This window comes from Homo sapiens, chromosome 6 (genome assembly GCF_000001405.40).
Source record: "Homo sapiens chromosome 6, GRCh38.p14 Primary Assembly".
Taxonomy (NCBI): Eukaryota; Metazoa; Chordata; class Mammalia; order Primates; family Hominidae; genus Homo; species Homo sapiens.
The window spans coordinates 114,242,547-114,261,833 of NC_000006.12; the positions used below are offsets into that span (position 1 = coordinate 114,242,547).

At 39.3% G+C, this 19,287-nt stretch overlaps 1 protein-coding gene and 1 long non-coding RNA gene across 12 annotated transcripts in view; one reads left to right on the forward strand and one right to left on the reverse strand.

Annotated features, from left to right (window-relative positions):
- HDAC2-AS2 (HDAC2 and HS3ST5 antisense RNA 2) overlaps positions 1-19,287 on the forward strand; it is a 371,029-nt gene that overhangs the window by 272,846 nt on the left and 78,896 nt on the right. The gene's annotated exons all lie outside the window — the stretch shown is intronic.
- HS3ST5 (heparan sulfate-glucosamine 3-sulfotransferase 5) overlaps positions 1-19,287 on the reverse strand; it is a 287,428-nt gene that overhangs the window by 186,951 nt on the left and 81,190 nt on the right. Inside the window, exon 1 of one of the 11 annotated variants that reach the window (XM_017010471.2) lies at positions 5,997-7,710. The exons of the other annotated variants lie outside the window; for them this stretch is intronic. The gene's annotated coding sequence lies outside the window, so the exon portion shown is untranslated. Of the gene's footprint in view, positions 1-5,996; positions 7,711-19,287 lie in introns of those variants that run through there. 11 annotated transcript variants of the gene reach the window in all.

A 19,287-nucleotide genomic window follows, 5' to 3' on the forward strand; every position in this document is an offset into this window, starting at 1 on the left:
CCTCTTCCATTATCCATGCCCACTGCTATGTGCCTTTTAGTTTGACCCAATAAGAAGGTGGGATGTCTAGGCCGAGGCGGGTGGATCATGAGGTCAGGAGATCGAGACCATCCTGGCTAACAAGGTGAAACCCCATCTCTACTAAAAATACAAAAAATTAGCCGGGCGCGGTGGCGGGCGCCTGTAGTCCCAGCTACTCGGGAGGCTGAGGCAGGAGAATGGCGTGAACCCGGGAAGCGGAGCTTGCAGTGAGCCGAGATTGCGCCACTGCAGTCCGCAGTCCGGCCTGGGCGACAGAGCGAGACTCCGTCTCAAAAAAAAAAAAAAAAAGAAGAAGGTGGGATGTCTTTCTTTACCCCTTTTCTTTGGATTTGACCATGTGACTTGTGTTGCTCACATTAGTGAGCATGATGTAACCAAAGGCTTGGGCAACGCTTGCACTATTGAATTTGCCCTCTAGCACTTTCACTATTGTGAGAACCTCTCTGGGTTAACTGGCTTATCCAAGGAGGAGGATGAGAGATATGTAGAGCAAAACTAAACTGCCCCAGTGGAGTCCAGCCTAATCCCCAGCTGACCTCATCCACAGAAGCAAACCAGCTAAGATCATCATAACTCCTCAGCCTATCCCAGCCTAGATTAGCCCACTCCAAGTGGCCCACAGACCCATGAGCTAGATAAATGCATATTATTGTATGTTGCGGAGATTTTGTGTTTATTATCCTGGCTTTATTCAAAATACCTAAATGATGCAGAAGTGAAATCATCAGAACTGAACTGAGTGGACAGTATAGGAGATCTCAGCATCATACTTAAAATTCTCCCTTTCTCTGACTTCTTAAATAAAATATTTTTGGCCACCATGACACATATGAGAACTAGGGAAGATACTCTAGCAAGAGCTGGACAAATTCAACCTACAAGTATAACTCATTGGTTATCATGGGGGTTTTTAAAGTAAGCAGCAGCAGGGATTCTAGGACTTAAGTGGAATTGAATAGCACAGCACAGTTCTTAATTTTCCAAGCAAGTGCTGGATTTGTTAAATCCAGATGTAGGTGTTCCTAGATTTTGTTTTTGTTGTTGTTGTTGTTGAGGGAAAGCTGTTGACATATGTCCCCAATTCTTTACCTCTTCCAGTATCCATGTCCACTGCTATGTGCCTTTTAGTTTGACCCAATAAGAAGGTGGGATGTCTTTCTCTACCCCTTTTCTTTGTATTTGACCATGTGACTTGTGTTGTTCAACTCCCAGGTTTGTCTTATTACACTGACTACTGAAGAGGGTACTGGCTTTGCCCACTTGGGTCATCCCCCTATGCTGTCCCCAATACACTCCTAGGAGGGTCCTTCTACTGCCTGATTCTTTGGGCTTTTGTGATGCCAAATTAGAATAGTGAGAATGCGATAGAAGTGGAATTATAGGTAGAATAGTAGAGGGTAAGATGAGGAGAATACTATCCTTTTGTAGAAGACAGAAAAGCTCCAACAGGGACAGAGGAGTCTGTGAAAGAGTTTTAAGTGAGAGGACTCAGATAAAGTGAGGTTATAGAGAGCAGGGATAGAGAAGGAAAGAAGGTTTTAACAAACGTTTCTGCAGGTTTTGCTATCTGAATTCCCTTTACAAGACTGGAAACTGTAGGTAGAAAACTTGAGTTAATTTAATTCACTATTATTTTTTAGCAATACCATCTCTCTTAGATTGGTGTTTGTGGATCGCAGCTTTATGGTAATGATTTTGTACAAATAAATTTAATATGGAATGAAGTGATGGCATGGTGGCTAGAGTGGACAGAATGTTCAGGACCTATAAGGTTATTCACTGCCCATATCACTTACTAGCTGTGTAATTGGACAGTTAACTAAACCATTCTGAGGCTCATTTTCTTCATTTATACCATGGAGAAAATAATGTATTTCATAGGTTCTTCTCAGGATTAAATAATACGGTGGATGTTAAAATATCTAGCTCATTTTTAGACATAAATGTTAGGTGAAATATTTGAGCACGATGTTTTCTTTATGAAAATTCAAGGTTTGGCCTAAAGTCACTGTCCCTGTATCTGTACCTTCAAGCTGTGCTCCAAAGTTAGTAGCTGCAGCTGACTACTTAAGCAGTTGCTAATTGACAAAGACATCTCTGTTTCCCTTATAGTTATTTTTGTGGAAGACCAAAAAAAGAAAAAAATCTGTTCCTTACCATCTATAACTGATAAGGAGCTTCCCCAGGTAGAGAGAACTCAAATGCTGGGAAACTCGGCCAATAAAGAAGTGACCACTTATGAGGGCTTTTAAATTAAAAGGCTGAAAGATCACCTTACATTTGCTTCCATTATTATCTTAAGTTTACTTCAAGGAGGAGACAGCAGATGTATACCCACAATCAAAACAGTATTTGATCTCATGATAACATATTACCTTCAGTAGTAAAATTTGAAAACATACATTGTTACTGTATGGAAATTGACTAGGAACTTACAGAATTCCAGTTTTAATTAGCAATACAACCAGTGAATCACAAGGTGGCATCTAGGTTTTAGATACTATTCAGTGTAGAAGATCTATATTGAAAAAGCATCAGTAATTACATATCTACAGTTTGCAATTACAACATGAAATGAATAGCTGATGCTATGTAGGCAGCATCTTGCCTAAGACTGCACAGAACAAATACAAGAAGAAAGTAGATTAAAAAGATAAATATGCTTTTCTGGAAATTGGAAAGTCCCCATACAGCATCATGCTTCTGACATAAAATGAAGGTTTAGAGAGATAGGACGGTAATGCACATCCTAACCCACAGTTATGAGACAGAAACAGGTTAGAAAAACATCTGGTTTTCCTATGTACTTGTGATGTTAATGCTTAGCATTAAATGGAAAGTCAGGATCATCATCAAGAATAATGTCTTGGTATGTGGCCAGCCTACTTGCATGGATTGTCACACTGGAACACCAGAGGTGAGAAGAATAGACAACAACAGGACAACCAAGCAGAAGTGGTTTGGGGAGCTGGTGTGGGGACAGCCACAAGCTGTGAGGACAGATACAGTCCTACAAGGACATTGAAGCATAATTTCAACGGACACTGTGGAGAGCAGTAGACTGCTGAGAAGCTAGAAAGCCTGATAGATTGCTCTGACACATAGAAATCAGGGACAGTGACTTGTTTTCAAGGCAAAATATCAAGCAAACCTCATACAAACAGCAGACTCCCAGAGTCCTAGGCTTTGCCCACACCAGCAGAAGCCACCAACAAACTAGACAGGCGTTATGCATACAGGTGGGAAAGAAAAGCTGCATACATGTGGGACCCAAACCCGGTTAGTAAAACTAGTGCCAAATCTTCTGGAAAAACACTATGCTTTATACTGACATAAAGGTAAAAATTTTCGTGGAAAGGGTTCAGGCAAGATGTTTCAATCAAATCTCATGACGCCACTGAAACTGAAGCTTAAATGGTGGAGCAGGATACATCTTCAGGCTTTGAATGCAGGCAAACTGAATAAGATTTTTCATACACTGGACCTAGCCTGGAAATTCTCAGCAGCTATAACCCAGGATACAGCACTCTACACACATAATGCTTGTATATGAGCTATATTATATTCTCTGTGAATAAAACATCTTAATATAACATTGTAGGAACAGTGCTTGTCCAGCATTCAACTATTTCCATGATTACTAACAAAGGGAAATGTGACACAGAGCAATGTTCCATGAACCAAATTACCCAGGGAAATTACTGGAAACTTGCAGGCATTGCTGAGGCACATGAGTTTTGTAATTTGTCAGATAGCATCCTTGCTTAAGTCACAGTGTTTTTTTGAGGATCGAAAGTGATAATAGATATAGATGTGGTTTTGTAATCCATCAAGCACTATACATACATTTTGCAAGCTTTAACGTATAATCAAGAGGGCTTCAACAACAATGTTCAAAGCAGACCTATTACAACTGGCTCTTGTACTCGGTTCAGCTTTAAAAGACAATAAGCTTGTCTGCCAGTCGTTTAAGCTAAGGCAAATAAAAAGTGGCTTTAATGATACCTTAGGCAACGCTTATACAGCAGTGTTCCTATTAAGAGAAGAAAAGAACAAAATCTCCTCCTCTTCTTAATAGTTATAGGAAATCCGTCTTCTACTCAAAATCAAGTTTTATATTGGCGCGTTTGTTTAGACCTTACACAACTTCTGAATGTAAGGGTGAGCACTGTTTACCAACTTGTAGTCACCGAAAAGAATATGGGTTTCGTTCTGCTTTACCAACATAATAAGGAGAATCTTCAAAGAGAAAAGATTTCTCCTTTAGCCAAACTGTTACTTTATCTACACAGACAAAACAAAGAAACAAACAGAAAAAACCAACTTTGAGTGAGAAAGTAAACTCTATTCTTCCACCACTCCTGGTTTCATTTATTACGGTAACAGGAAAAAGAATGAAAAGAAGAGATTAAACAAAACTTACTTCTTTTCTAATATTCTTTTCTTTTCAATGAAAGTTCCCAACCCAAATGAAGTCATTTTTGTAATGCCACTTAATGTTGTTTATTTTGCCATCATGGTGGAACTGGTAATTCACTCAACTGTGGGTTATTGTTTCTTATCTTTCTAACTATCCTTCTGAGGTTAAGCTTACACTGTTGTTAATCTTGTTGCAACACGGTGGTTCTTCAGCTTTCATGAATTTAACACAAGGAATCATGAGGGAGGTGCTCAGTAATTGTGTAGAGGTGTCAATTTGAATTGGGAATACCAGCCACTCAAGCAATGAAAGAGTTAACCCAATGGCTGTCAACATATTAGGCTGGTCTTTACTTGTACCTTAGTGATGAAAACCGGAAAATTGCATCTTTATGAGAAATGAGAGAGAAACCAAGAATAAGATAAACTCCAAAAAGCAGAAAATGCATGAATTTGAGGTTTGAGACTAGTCCAAGAAACAAGAGTGATTGGCAGAAATGTTATTTGGCAGAAAGCACTAGATCTTCTACAATCAATTTATAAATCACAAATTTGTCTGTTTCAAGGTACCAGGGCATTTCTTATAAATATAAAAAGCTATTCCTTCATGTTTAAAAGTCTGCTGTTAAACACAAATTTAAGAGACTCCATGGGGTTAAGCATTCTGTTTTCTAGTCATCATTCAGCTTTCTCCATGCCTCTGAGCATTGCTGCATCTCATATTTGCATTTCTAGTCCTTATTTAATATCCATATTTTTTCTGTTCTACATACTAGATATCCCAGTCTATGTAAGCATGAATAATATTGAGTAGGGTTAGAAACTTGAATTTTTTTTAAGTCAACAGAAAATTATTTTTCTAATGAAATTTAAAAGCCTAAACTTATTTTATTAAAAATAATAATATATAAGCCAGGCGCAGTGGCTCACACCTATAATCCCAGCACTTTGGGAGGCTGAGGCAGGTGGGTCACCTGAGGTCAGGAGTTCGAGACCAGCCCAGCCAACATGGCAAAACCCTGTCTTTACTAAAAATACAAAAATTAGCCAGGCATGGTGGTGCATGCCTGTAAGTCCCTGCTACTCAGGAGGCTGAGGCAGGAGACTCACTTGAACCTAGGAGACGGAAGTTGCAGTGAGCTGAGATGGTGCCACTGCACTCCAGCCTGGGTGACAGAGCGAGATTCCATCTCAAAAAATGAAAAAAAAAATATATATATATATATATATAAAATATTCACTATGGGCTCCACTAATTATACATACATATGAATGTGAATCCTTTTGGGAACTAGATCTATAGTAATTAGTTGGAAATAAGAGAACAACTAATCTTTGTTTAGAATACAATATTATGAAAGATTGCTATAAAATTATGCATCTCTAAATAAGAAGCAAACACTAACAGTTTCTTACATAAAGTTATGTTAGTTTTGCTAAATTTACCCAGGTTGTATAATTGATAAGTAATAGAAAAAAATAAAAAATAAAATTAAAATAAAAAAATTTCATCTGGCAATAATTCAGATATTTACCAGACAGTCATGGGCACCAGGCTGCTGCTATACAATTACTTCCTTTGGTTGATGGTTCTGCCGTTCATTCATCAAATATTTATTGCATGTCTGCTGTGGGACCAGTCACTGTATTAGGCTATAGGGATAAAATTAATCAGTCAAAACAGACAAGGTCTCTTCTTTCATGAAGTTACAGTCTAATGATTCAGACAACTTAATTATTTTCAAGATAGAAGCATAATTTTAGGAAAATAAAAGTTACAATAATTGAAATAAAAGTTAACAAGATGGTCCTTACATTCTGTGGTTTCAATATATACCAGTTTCAGTTAACACAGCAGTGAGCAAAAGCAAGGATTGCCTATAGTATCATATTATTACTGGCTGTTTCAGTCTGGTAGCAGACACTTTAGGTGGAAGACATTGTTTATACCAACTATCTATCCCTATTTGATTTTTAATGCTTTTCTGTTTATATGCTATTTGAAGATATCCGTGATACTTTTGGTTGTTTCTGCTGATAACAAAAGTGCTACCCAGTTTCTCAGAGTTTTGCCAAGACTAGGCAATTTAACCAATGAAATACTTGAAATAATTTCCTTGTGATTTCCTCTTTTCTCCCCTACTTAAGAAAGAGACTACATACCTAAAAAAGTCAACCTCCAGAAATTCATGGCCTGTCCATGTTTCTTTTATTAATAGAGATTCAGCACATATGCACTAATTAATAATTAATCTTTTAGGCCCTTACATGTTTTTCTTATTCGATTTACCATTTATTACTTGTACTTTAATTGTGTCAACAAATGTCTTTTACCTTACTCAATCATGCATTTAAAGTTACTAGAAATAACTTGTGTGAATGGCAAACAAGGCATGAGAGAGAATAGAACCCCTTGGAAATCCTGGGATACATAACTATCATTCTACACCTCAAGGCTCCTCTCTGGGTATGAAGATGGGGACCCTGCACTGTAATGGATGCCCCTCCTCTTTAGAACTGAGGAGCTAATTTCCTCAAGTGCTAAGAGTGCTGGTTGCAGACAAGAGTGTTGCCCTTGGCTGAAGGAAACTGCCTTGCTCAGGGTACGACCCCTCCCCAGGGGTGTTGTGCATCCAGTGATTGGTCAGTGTGGGATACAAAGGCCAAGCCCCTTTGCCTCCATTTGGGACAGCTCTGGGGAGCCAGCTAAGTCAAGAGTTCCCATGATAACCTGGGGCCTCTGTCATGACAGTGTTACAGATGAGCCTCTCCATCTGTCCAAAATTTTTTTTTCATTTCCTTTCAGCTGTTGTTATCAAAACACTTCCCAAAATTCCAGACACACAAATTTCTCATGGAGTCTATTTCCAAGGAACTTAAATGGGGATATTGCACCAAATGAAAAACAAAGATAACTAATGTAAAAATAAATCCATACCGATCTGAAATATTTGTGCATTTGTATCTATTTTCATGCTTTTTAATCATTTGCTTTTTAAGTGGGTAAATAACTATTGATATAATAGACTCACTACACAAAGTTATGATATGCATTGCTTAAGACTGAATTTTAGGGGACAGTCTGAATTCTCTAAGTACTTCTCTGAAAGTACTTAGAGGGATTAAAAATTTTTTATAAACCAATTATCCCATGATGGTGAAATGGGATGGGAGGAAATTGAATACAAATAGAGATCTGAATTCTTTGAGAGCTAATGACAAATGTGATAGATTTAAAAATTTATATTTTCATTGACTAGAATATGAAAGAGATTTTAAAAAAATTATCAGAGGCTGGGCACGATGGCTCAGGCCTGTAATCCCAGCACTTTGGGAGGTCGAGACGGGCAGATCACAAGGTCAGAAGATCGAGACCATCCTGGCTAACACGGTGAAACCCCGTCTCTACTAAAAATACAAAAAATTAGTCGGGCGTGGTGGCAGGCGCCTGTAGTCCCAGCTACTCGGGAGGCTGAGGCAGGAGAATGGCGTGAACCTGGGAGGCAGAGCTTGCAGTGAGCCAAGATCACGCCACTGCACTCCAGCCTGGGTGACAGAGCGAGACTCCGTCTCAAAAAAAAAAAAAAAAATTTATCAGAGAAAGTGAAGAATTCACCAAGTATATGACCATAACAAATATACTGCAAACTTTGACCTGAAGGAAGAGACATTTTGTCTTCTCTTGAATAAAAGTTTGCTTTTTTTGTTAAGTGTTAATATTCATACTATCAGCTATAACTGTATTCCAGATAAACAGTGAGATTATTGGAAGGACAGTCATACTATACTTGCTTAGTGTCTACACTAATGCACCTCACTGGTACATAGTCACTTGCTTATTAAAAAATTTCACTTGCTTACTCATGACTAAAAAGTTGAGTGTTTAGAAGTCTTACAGATACAGAAATCATTCTCAAGTGTTTTGAGTAAGTAAATGAAGGAGAAAATGGGAAGAAAGTCTATCTACAAAATGACTACTATCAGCAAAATATCAGAAGCATGAGAAAACCCCTGAAATGAAATTTTCAGCACTAAAACCTAAGTTCCAGGAAATGCCTCCATGACATTCTGATTCCATTAAATTAGCATGGGAAAAGCCAATACAGAAATAGGGGTAAATTCTTGAATCAAAGAAAAAGTAACGTATAAAAAGAAATGTAGGTGACTTTGGTGTTGCAACAGTATTATGTGTAGGAGAGCAGCTTTCCACTGTACTTCAGCAGTGAGGCACTTTCTTCAAATAAAATCTCATATGGAAGCCCAATATGTCGAACAGATGAAAGAGGGCTAGCTCTGTTAAAGTTGGAGGTAATGGGCTGGAGGCTATAGTGATGCATATCCCCTCAAATCCTGAGATGCCACTAGAGAACATCTAGGGCTCCATGACACAGAGTGTAAAAACCAACAGGAGAATTGGAAAGCTCTCAAGTGTGAGCACTTGAGGGAAAGAATTATATTTTATTTTTTTGTTGCTTCTCAGCATTTACATTCCCTTTCCCCCTTCCTTACAGTATTCAAAATTCCAAGCATGTGGTTTGGATGGAATTCACTCCGTTCTTGTCTTTGGTAGTGGGCCCTGATTGGCTTAAGCCAGTAGGCATATCTAATCTCCAGGCCACACCAATTGGTTCAGGGTTGAACACACAACCCAATTTGGGCAAATTAGAGCTGCAAGAATAAATTTCAAATTGTTTTGTGCTTGACTGGTATCTGAAAACACATAACCCCAGGAGCTGCTGATGGTTATATTGTGACAATAATGGAGGAGACCCACAGAAATGGAGCCAGCACTGAAGAAGTGGCAATGAGAACCGAAGGCAGTCATCCCATCATTTGAGCCACTGTATCAAGAGTAGTCTGATGCTAGCCTAACTTCTCAGTTACATGACAATAAATTGTCTTTACTCTTCAAGTCAACTTTTCCTTGTGTCTTCTGTTATAACAGGAAAGCACTGTAACTGGTATCTATTGTATCCCAGCACCTAGGAGGGTACCTCACACACAGTGGGTAGCTCAGCATTTGTTGACTGAAAGAGTTAAGAGCCATAAATTATAATTATTTCCTTAGCCCTAACTGGCAATTCACTTAACTACTCCAGGTCTTATTTCCTCTATCTTTTAAAACCAGAAAGTTGTTCAGGCTCATCTAAAAAAAAAAAATCCATTAGTACTCTAACACTGTAAGTGTCTCTATGCCTTCATGCAGATTATTGCTTAGGTGTTTGTGTCTCAGACAACCTGCAGAGGTTTTAGAGTTAATGTACTGATTCAATTCTGTACGAATTTAGCCCACTGAGAATTTTTCATTAGCTGAAGGTTAAGGTGGCTCTGTTCCTCCCTCAGCTGACTGCCTGACTGTGAAATTATGGTGACCCTCAAAAGAGAAGCTATACATTGGAGGACTGGGAATGTATAATTCACAGGAATAAAAGCAGGATTATCACTATTTGTTTAAGAATATCCTGAACATCTGTGGAGGGGGAATGAGCAAAAGTTCTAGATGGTTGCAAGAGAAACTTATGTTATTTGAGGATTATTGTGGGGGTACCTAGAATTCTTAATCAAACTTTCAAGATGTTTAAGGGCCTCTGAACAGAATGTGTTTAAAAATGAAAAGCAATGCCTTCTTTTGAAAAAAAAAAAAGTCATCTACCTATAAAGTCACTCCAATTTAAGGCTGATCCTATCTGAGGCTTATGTCAAAGCACCATCATCTTTGGGTCTTCAGAGGACAGGATGGGAACAGAAGTTCTGCCCTTTATGTATTTTCATAGATCAGGTTGTCTTCCTGCGTAGTCGCAATTTGGAGCAATGCTATGCAAGAGAATTATAATGCAAGTGAGCCACATACACAATTTTAAATTTCCTGGTAACCACATTTTTTTTTTTAAGTTAAAAGAAACAGGTAGCTGGGCATGATGGCTCATGCCTGTAATCCTAGCACTTTGGGAATTGCTTGAGCCCAGGAATTCAAGACCAGCCTGGGCAACACAGGAGATGAGACCCCATCTCCACAAAAAATTAAAACTTAGGTGGGTGGGTATTGTAGTGTATGTCTGTAGTCCCAGCTACTCTGAAGCTGAGGCAGGAGGACCTCCTGAGCCTAGGAGTTTGGAGTTCAAGGCTGCAGTGAGCTATTGTGGTGCCAGTGTACCTTAGCTTAGGCAAGACAATGAGACCCTATCTCAAAAGAAACACATGAAATTAATGTTAATTTACTTGCTTTAACCCAATATATGAAACACATTATTTCAACATGTAATCATAAAAATATTAATAAGATATTTTGCGTATTTGGATAGTAAGTCTTCAAAATCTGAAGTTACGGCACATTTCAGGTGTTTAGTAGACACAGGTACTTTGTATTGGTCAACAAAGATCCAAAGAATCGCTGTTTCCTACTGAGTTTTGCTTAGTTTTGTTTTGTTTGGAGTGGGGTAGGGAGAATCTTAAGAATGCAAATACTATCAAACACTGTAATTTAAATCTGAAGAGCTACCATATTCCTTCTCAGAAGGGCTGTAAGTTTTAATATGGCCCAACACTGGGAAAAAGAAAGAGAATGACAGGAGAGCAGAGGAGGCTGTGGGCTTGCAATGACTTGCCTCAACTTGTACACTAGGTCTCCAAGTTCAGACATGACACTCAGCACAATTAGAAGCCACCGAAAATGTTCACACAAGGGAATAACGAGATTCAATTAGTGTTTTAGGTCTTGCAGCCAGTCTGCTTGGCTTCTGTATATTGAATGCATGGTGAGATAGTATTTCAGATATTCATCTATTTTTTTCTCCCTGTGTTTCGTTTTTCTCCCCTATTCTCTATTTAAGCAGACAACAGGCCCTCTGCTCATTGCCTCAGGTAAGGAATATGGCAAGGTGAAAAACAGAAATGTTCTCTCTGGCTCTTTTGATCCAAAATTGCCTTAGAGCAATTTAGAGATTGTGTGCAATGGGTAACAGGAAGAGAATGTGGAGGTGTGAGAAAATGCAAGGCAGGAAGGGCAGTCCTCCAGGCAGAAAAGAGAGAGGCCTAAAAGGAGAGGAGAAAAGAGAGAGAAGAGAAAAATAAGAGAAAGGAGAGAGGGTTCTGAATTATGGTGCAGAGGCTCTCTGAGCTCTGTGTCCTGGAAAACAGGATGAAGCGCACTGCAGTGGTGGAGCCTCCTGGCAGCCAGTGTTCATCAAGGATCAGATTTTCTATTGTCCCTGCCCCACCTGAGATTTGGCACTGTGGAAGACCCTGAACCTCCCAAATGAATGTGTTTAAATTTCTGGCCATCCTGGCAGGTTCAACATGGCTTCAAAATAGTAAATAGCTGGGGCTATGGAAAATAGTATTAATATAATCTGTTCTGGACACTTGAGTTGTGGATTGGGATTCATACCCGTAGGGGTGCTAGGCTGAGGCTATAAAGTCCAATGAAAAGGCTATTGCAAGTCAAGAAAGAGAGTTGAGTCTCTTGAGTAGGGTAGCAGACCTTCCAGAGAGAGAAATAGATGGTGTCAAGTTCTGCTTAGGAGGCAGAATTGGCAGTTGTATTAGTCCTTTTTCACACTGCTGATAAAGACGTACCCGAGAGTGGGAAAATTACAAAGAAAAAGAGGTTTAATGGACTCAATTTAATGGACTCACAGTTCCACATGGCTGGGGAGGCCTCACAATCACGGTGGAAGGTAAAGGCATGTCTTACATGGCAATGGGCAAGAGAACATGAGAACCAAGTGAAAGGGGTTTCCCCTTATAAAACCATCAGATCTCATGAGACTTACTCACTACCACGAGAACAGTATGAGGGAAATTGCTGCCATGATTCAATTATCTCCCACTGGATCCCTCCCACAAAACATTGGAATTAGGGGAGCTAAAATTCAAGATGAGATTTGGGTAGGGACACAGCCAAACCATATTATTCCACCTCTGGCCCCTCCCCAAATCTTACATCCTGACATTTTAAAACCAATCATGCCTTCCCAACAGTCCCCCAAGGTCTTAACTCATTTCAGCATTGACTCAAAAGTCCACAATCCAAAGTCTCATCTGAGACAATGCTAGTGACTTCCACATATGAGCCTGTAAAATCAAAAGCAAGCTAGTTACCTGCTAGATACAGTGGGGGTACAGGCATTGAATAATATACCCATTTTAAATGGGAGAAATTGGCTAAAACAAAGGAGCTAAAGGCCCTATGCAAGTCTGAAATCCAATAGGGCAGTCAAATCTTAAAGCTCCAAAATGATCTCCATTGACTCCATGTTTCACATCCAGGTCACACTGATGTAAGAGGTGGCTTCCTATGGTCTTGGGAAGCTCCACCCCTGTGGCTTTGCAGGGTGCAGCCTCCCTCCAGGCTGCTTTCATGGCCTGCAGCTTTTCCACAGACACCGCTGAGTGTCTGCGGCTTTTCCAGGTGCACGGTCAGCTGTTGGTGGATCTACCATGCTGGGGTCTGGAGGATGGTGGCCCTCTTCTCACAGCTCCACTAGGCAGTGCCCCAGTGGGAACTCTGTGTGGGAGCCTCTACCCATTTTCCTTATGCACTGCCCTAACAGAGGTTCTCTGTGAGGCCCACCCCCTACCTGCAGCAAACTTCTGCCTAGACATCCAGGCATTTACATACGTCCTCTGAAATCTAGGCAGAGATTCCCAAACCTCAATTCTTGACTTCTGTGTACATGCAGGCCCAACACCATGTGGAAGCTGCCAAGGCTTGGGGCTTACACCCTCTGAAGCCACAGCCCAAGCTGTACCTTGGCCTCTTTTAGCCATGACTAGAGTGGCTGGGATGCAGGGCACCAAGTCTCTAGGCTGCACATAGCACAAAATCATTTTTTCCTCCTAGCCTCCAGGCCTGTGCTGGGAGGGGCTGCTGCAAAGGTCTCTGACATGCCAGGAGACATTTTCCCCATTGTCTTGGTGATTAACATTTGACTCCTCATTACTTATGCAAATTTATGCAGCTGGCTTAAATTTCTCCTCAGAAAATGGGTTTTTCTTTTCTATCACATCGTCAGGCTGCAATTTTTCTAAACTTTTATGCTCTGTTTCCCTTTTAAAACTGAATGCTTTTTATAATGTCTTATAAAAATATTTCACAGTGGCCAGGTGCAGTGGCTCACGCCTGTAATCCCAGCACTTTGGGAGGCCAAGGTGGGCAGATCACAAGGTCAGGACATCAAGACCATCTTGGCTAACACAGTGAAACCTCGTCTCTACTAAAAACACAAAAAATTAGCTGGGCGTGGTGGTGGGCGCCTGTAGTCCCAGCTACCCGGGAGGCTGAGGCAGGAGAATGGCGTGAACCCGGGAGGCAGAGCTTGCAGTGAGCCGAGATTGCGCCACTGCACTCCAGCCTGGAGGACAGAGCAAGACTCCCTCTCAAAAAAAAAAAACAAAAAAAAACAAACTGAATGCTTTTAACAGCACCCAGCACCCAAGTCACTTCTTAAAGGCTTTGCTGCTTAGAAATTTCTTCTGACAGATACCCTAAATCATCTCCTTCAAATTCAAAGTTCCACACATCTCTAGGGCAGGGGCAAAATATCACCATCTCTTTGCTAAAACATAGCAAGAGTCACATTTACTCCAGTTGCCAACAAGTTTCTCATCTCCATCTGAGACCACCTCAGCCTGGATTTCATTGTCCATATCATTATCAGTATTTTGGTCAAAGCCATTTAACAAGTCTCGAGGAAGACTTTCCTACATTTTCCTGTCTTCTTCTGAGCCCTCCAAACTGTTCCAACCTCTGCCTGTTACCCAGTTGCAAAGTTGCTTCCACATTTTCAGGTATCTTTACAGTAGTGTCCCACTCTACCAGTACCAATTTACTGTATTAATCTGTTTTCACACTGCTTATAAAGACATACCTGAGGCTGGTTAAATTATTAAAGAAAAAAAAGGTTTAATGGACTTATAGTTTCACATGGCTGGGGAGGCCTCGCAATCATGGCAGAAGGCAAAAGACACCTCTTATATGGTGGCAAGCAAGAGAGAATGAGAACCAGGTAAAGGGGTTTCCCCCTTATAAAACCATCAGATCTCATGAGACTTATTCACTACCACAAGAACAGTTTGAGAGAAACTGCCCCTATGATTCAATTATCTCCCACCGGGTCCCTCCCACAACATGTGGGAATTATGGAAACTACAGTTCAAGATAAGATTTGGATGGGGACACTGCCAAAGTATATCAGCAGTGTTTGTTAAATGGAGGCAGTAGGCTAAGGAAAGAGGGGATGCAGGGCATAGCCCAGGTTTTTAACGTAGAAAAATAAGAAAAATTTTGAAAAAAATTTACACTTCTGAGGCACTTTCCAAATAGTAGATACTATTCTAAGCTCTTGACAAATAGCAACTCATTAATCCATATGATAACCCTATGATGTAGGTACTATTATTTTCCTCCCTATTTTACAGAGAAGAACACTAAGGTTCAGGGAGGTTAAATAACTTATACAAAGTTAGAAGTAGAACCAGCATTTGAACCTAGAAAATCTGGGTTCACCATTTGGCTTGTACATCTCTACTCCTGTTAGATAACAGGCTAAATGAAACTCAAGAATTGATTAAAACTAACAAGAAACTTATACTAAGAATACCCTGGTTGAGGCAACCCTGTATTTTTGTTATCATGGTCCTGGACATTCAATAACTTTTGTCCACACTCCACATCTGTCTTTAATCCCTTTATTTGTATATGTCACGTATATTAGTTCTTCTTCTTCTTGTTGTTCTTTTTTTTTAATAAAAAGGGTCTCACTCTGTCACCCAGGCTGGAGTGCAGTGGCATGAACATAGCTCACTGTGGCCTCAAGCTCCTGGGCACAAGTCATTCTCTTGCCTCATCCTCCTGAATAGCTGAGACTACAGGCATGTGCTACCACACTTGGCTTACTTATTGATTGATAGATAGATAGATTGATTGATTGTAAAGGTGAGGTCTCTCGCTATGTTGCCCAGGCTGGTCTCAAACTCTTGACCCCAAGGGATCCTCCTGCCTTGGCCTCCCAAAGTGCTGGGACTACAGGTGTGTCCCACCATGCCCAGCTTGTTTCTATTTAATAAGTTATTAAGAACCTGAAATCCAAATATAAATGGTCTGTCTTTCAGTAAATTTATCAAATGAGTCACTAAATGCAGAGACTCCCAACTGCCTTTCCTTATTCACAAATAAAAGATGGTGTCTGGGGTGATTGTTGTTACCCACATATGCCCTCCTCTGGAGAGCTGATCTGACTCTGTGGGGAGTGCGTGACGATTCCCTTCTTGTTTCAGGTCTTGAAGACTCAGGATTTCCCTGCTGGGATCCTATGTCTCTACCAGTTCTCACATAAATCTACATTTAGATTGAAAAAAAGAAAACCCAGATTCCATTCAGAGTATCAACTTCACAGCCATCAGCAGCAGTGTGATGACAAACAGCAGCATAGTGACAAACACTAGCAGGGCCAGCCCAATGCTGTGCAACACGTTTGGGGTAGGAGTGAGACCCAAGGAAGGCAAAGAAATGACAGAGGTGTTTGCAGCCATGGGCCTGGGGGTGAGTGACAGTGTCTTGTCCTCAGGCTTCAGCATTTGCCGGCCACTTGGGGCCAGAGCACCTCTTAGGAATGTGTCCCTCTCCCTTTAATTGAAGCTCTTTTTGCCCCTTCTCCTTGTCCTGCTCTTGATCTTTGCCTCCAGGTAATTTTCTCCCAATTTAAAAACTGTTGGGTATTCTGACCTCTTGCTATATTCTTTTAACTACCTGGAGTCCCTGGTTTTGATCTTCTAAGGTCTGATCTCTCCTACTCATGTTGATTTCTATTTGATAAGGCTCTTTGTTTCCAACTGAATTGCTAGCTCCAGGTTATTTGAAATTATAGAGACAATAAAGGAAATAAAGACATGGAGTTTGAAGAGGAGATGATATGGAAAACAAACATTAATACAGAGGCTTTGGGCAAGGAACTTTATGATTCCTTGGCTCAGATTCTCATTTTGAGACACTAAAAAGTTTTTTCTCCTTGTATAAGACATGCATGGGCCATATCACAGTGTCTGACCAGTAGTAATGGTTAATGTTAGCTATTAATATTGTTGTTATTGATTTGTACCTTCAGATTAGCTTCAGTTTCCCCAGATTCTCCTCAATACCCTTTATAAACTAGAGACTATTACATGTTATTGACCAATTAGCCATCAGTTCTAGGTAACATGGGAATCATTTCCTGTAGCCAGTAAAAACATGAGCAATTAATCATTTCACATAGGATTTCTCAGAATGAGTTTTTGTGTTCATAATTGATGACACTGTTGCCTTTCCAACAATCTCTTCCTCTATATAATAAATTAAATTAAATTCTTTTAATACTCATGTGGCATCATTGTAATGTTGATTTTTTATAAATATACATCATGTTTCCCTTCCTAGACTGTAAATACATAACACAGGGCTATCTCTCGCTGTTTGGTGTCTCCACAGATCATCCTGTTTTACACATGGTAGGAATTCAATTAAAATCTATTGACTGATCCTTTTAAGCAAACGAGAGGACACGTGTACCCCACACAGGGTGAAATGGGTTCTCTTTTGAAACTAAGCAGTTGTTTTATAGAGATAACACTTTGGTGGTTATGCTGTTAAACACTCAAGTTAAAATCAATGTGGTACGTCAATGTATTCATTTTTGTTTATTGGAAAGTGTAGTGCTAAGATTTTTAGATGCTTTTGATGAAGTCCCTAAATACATATATACAGATACAGAAGAGATATAGATGTAGACATAGAAATATGTCTGAGGAACACGTGCATCAATCCACAATGCACAGGTTTCATGAAACATCTGAAAAAGGAAGCTAATATTATAACTAACCAAGAGCAACTAATGGCAAAAAATTCCACTAATAAATTGTTTTTATATTTTTAAAATGGAATTTTTTATTTCTATTTAACTTATGCTATGTCACAATAAAAATGCAAAAATAAGTTATCAAGTTGAGTTATTCCAATGTGTATTATGGTTTTTACACATAAGAATTCAGCCTAATTAATAATCCAAAATGCCACATACAGATAAATTATGATAGTTCATGTAACAAAATTATATTTTGTTGACATATATTTTGATGCTAAGAATCTTAATAAATTCAATATCATAATGTTTCTCTTATTGAATAAAAACTGCAAAATTGAGTATTATTTGGTCATAAATCTTATATCATCTATTCTAATATGGCAAACTATATATCGCTTTGATGAACATAACAACAGTTATAAAAACTTTAGGAATGTTTTGGATTTTTTGAAACTAATTTTTAACACACATTTTCCTCAGAGATATGGACTATAAAAATTACTGTATAAAAATTACAAAATCGCTAAAATTCTTCAATGAGTTTAACTATAAATAATGCTTAAAATAATTATAAGACTTCGTAAACAACTCTTTCACTTTGCTCTTTTAACAGTAAGATACTAGTTTAAAGATGTGATATTTATAATCAATATAAAAAGGTAGCAATCGATTTTTAAGAGAGAAGTCAGGGTATTAACTAGAACGCACAGTTTTCTTTGGCAGTTGTAGACAAAGGTCATAGGGTCCTAGTAACCATAGCTATCATTGTCATTTCCAGAATTTTAAATAATCTAAGTGATCAGACCCCAGATTATTTTAATCTAAAAGATAAAAACAAATACTTGAAGCCATCCTCTACGCTAAATGCTAGGTTGACCTGAGAAGGCAGGTGTTCTAGGCAAAAGGGCCAGCACCTGCAAAGGGACAGAGTTGAGAAAGCATGATCTGTTCAAGAAGCCTAAAGTGGTTTTTTGTTTTTGTTTTTTGGCTGGAATATAAAATGGCAAAAAAGGAAGCTGGAGAGGAGTGCAACATTAGGTAGGTCCTAAACTGTTTAAAAATAGGCATGATGGCATGATGACATTAGTGCATCTCCACTCTAGATGCAATATGTGAGACTGATTTGAGGGAGACAACAATGGCTGCAGTGACATCAGTCTAATGATGATGGCTGTGACGATGACAATAGTGACAGCAGCTATCTGAGCAACTCATCGAGTATGACAGGGGCAGAAACCAAGTTCAGTGGCTTGAATAATGCCTAAGATGAGGAGTGCGCAACAGTGCAGACTCTTATTCAAGAATTTGGGTAGGAAAAAAAATGAGGGGTTAGAGCAGTAGGTATGAAAGATAGGACTGAGAGAAGGCTGTTCTTTAGAATGGGAAAAGTTCAGGGTTTTGGTAAAAGACAGGAGATTTTTAAGAAAAAACAATTGAAGAAAAGATGAGAATTAACTAATGAGATGCTATCATGGGAAGTTGAGGGATTGGGTACAATCACACAAATAGAAGAGTTAACTGGGCAAGAGACTAAGAATCTCTTGTTTAAGGGGTAAGCAGGAAGGTAATTTTAGATGCATGAGAGGGAAGCTGGCTGAGTATATACTTGATGGTTTCTATTTTTTTCTGTAAGTATGGTCTGAATATTAAAGAGAGTGGTGACAATTAGTCATATGAACGAACTGAAGTTGATATTTATACTATTTTTCACAGAGAGAGGAGAAGAGAGAAGTAGGGTTTAATAATTTGTATACTACAAACACAGAGGAAATACACCCATGTCTTACTTAACAATAAGCATTTTCCCCAAATCCATTTACAGTATAGTTTATTGCTAAATGAGTGTAAATTCTTAACTATTGATTAATATTCTTACATTAGATATGTCCTCCAACATTTTTGCTTTTTGCAGTGCTTCAGAAGGACAAAGCCTCCTCCAGGCCCCATGTGCTTCTTCCATGTTAAAAATCTGCAGGAGAGTGTTTCT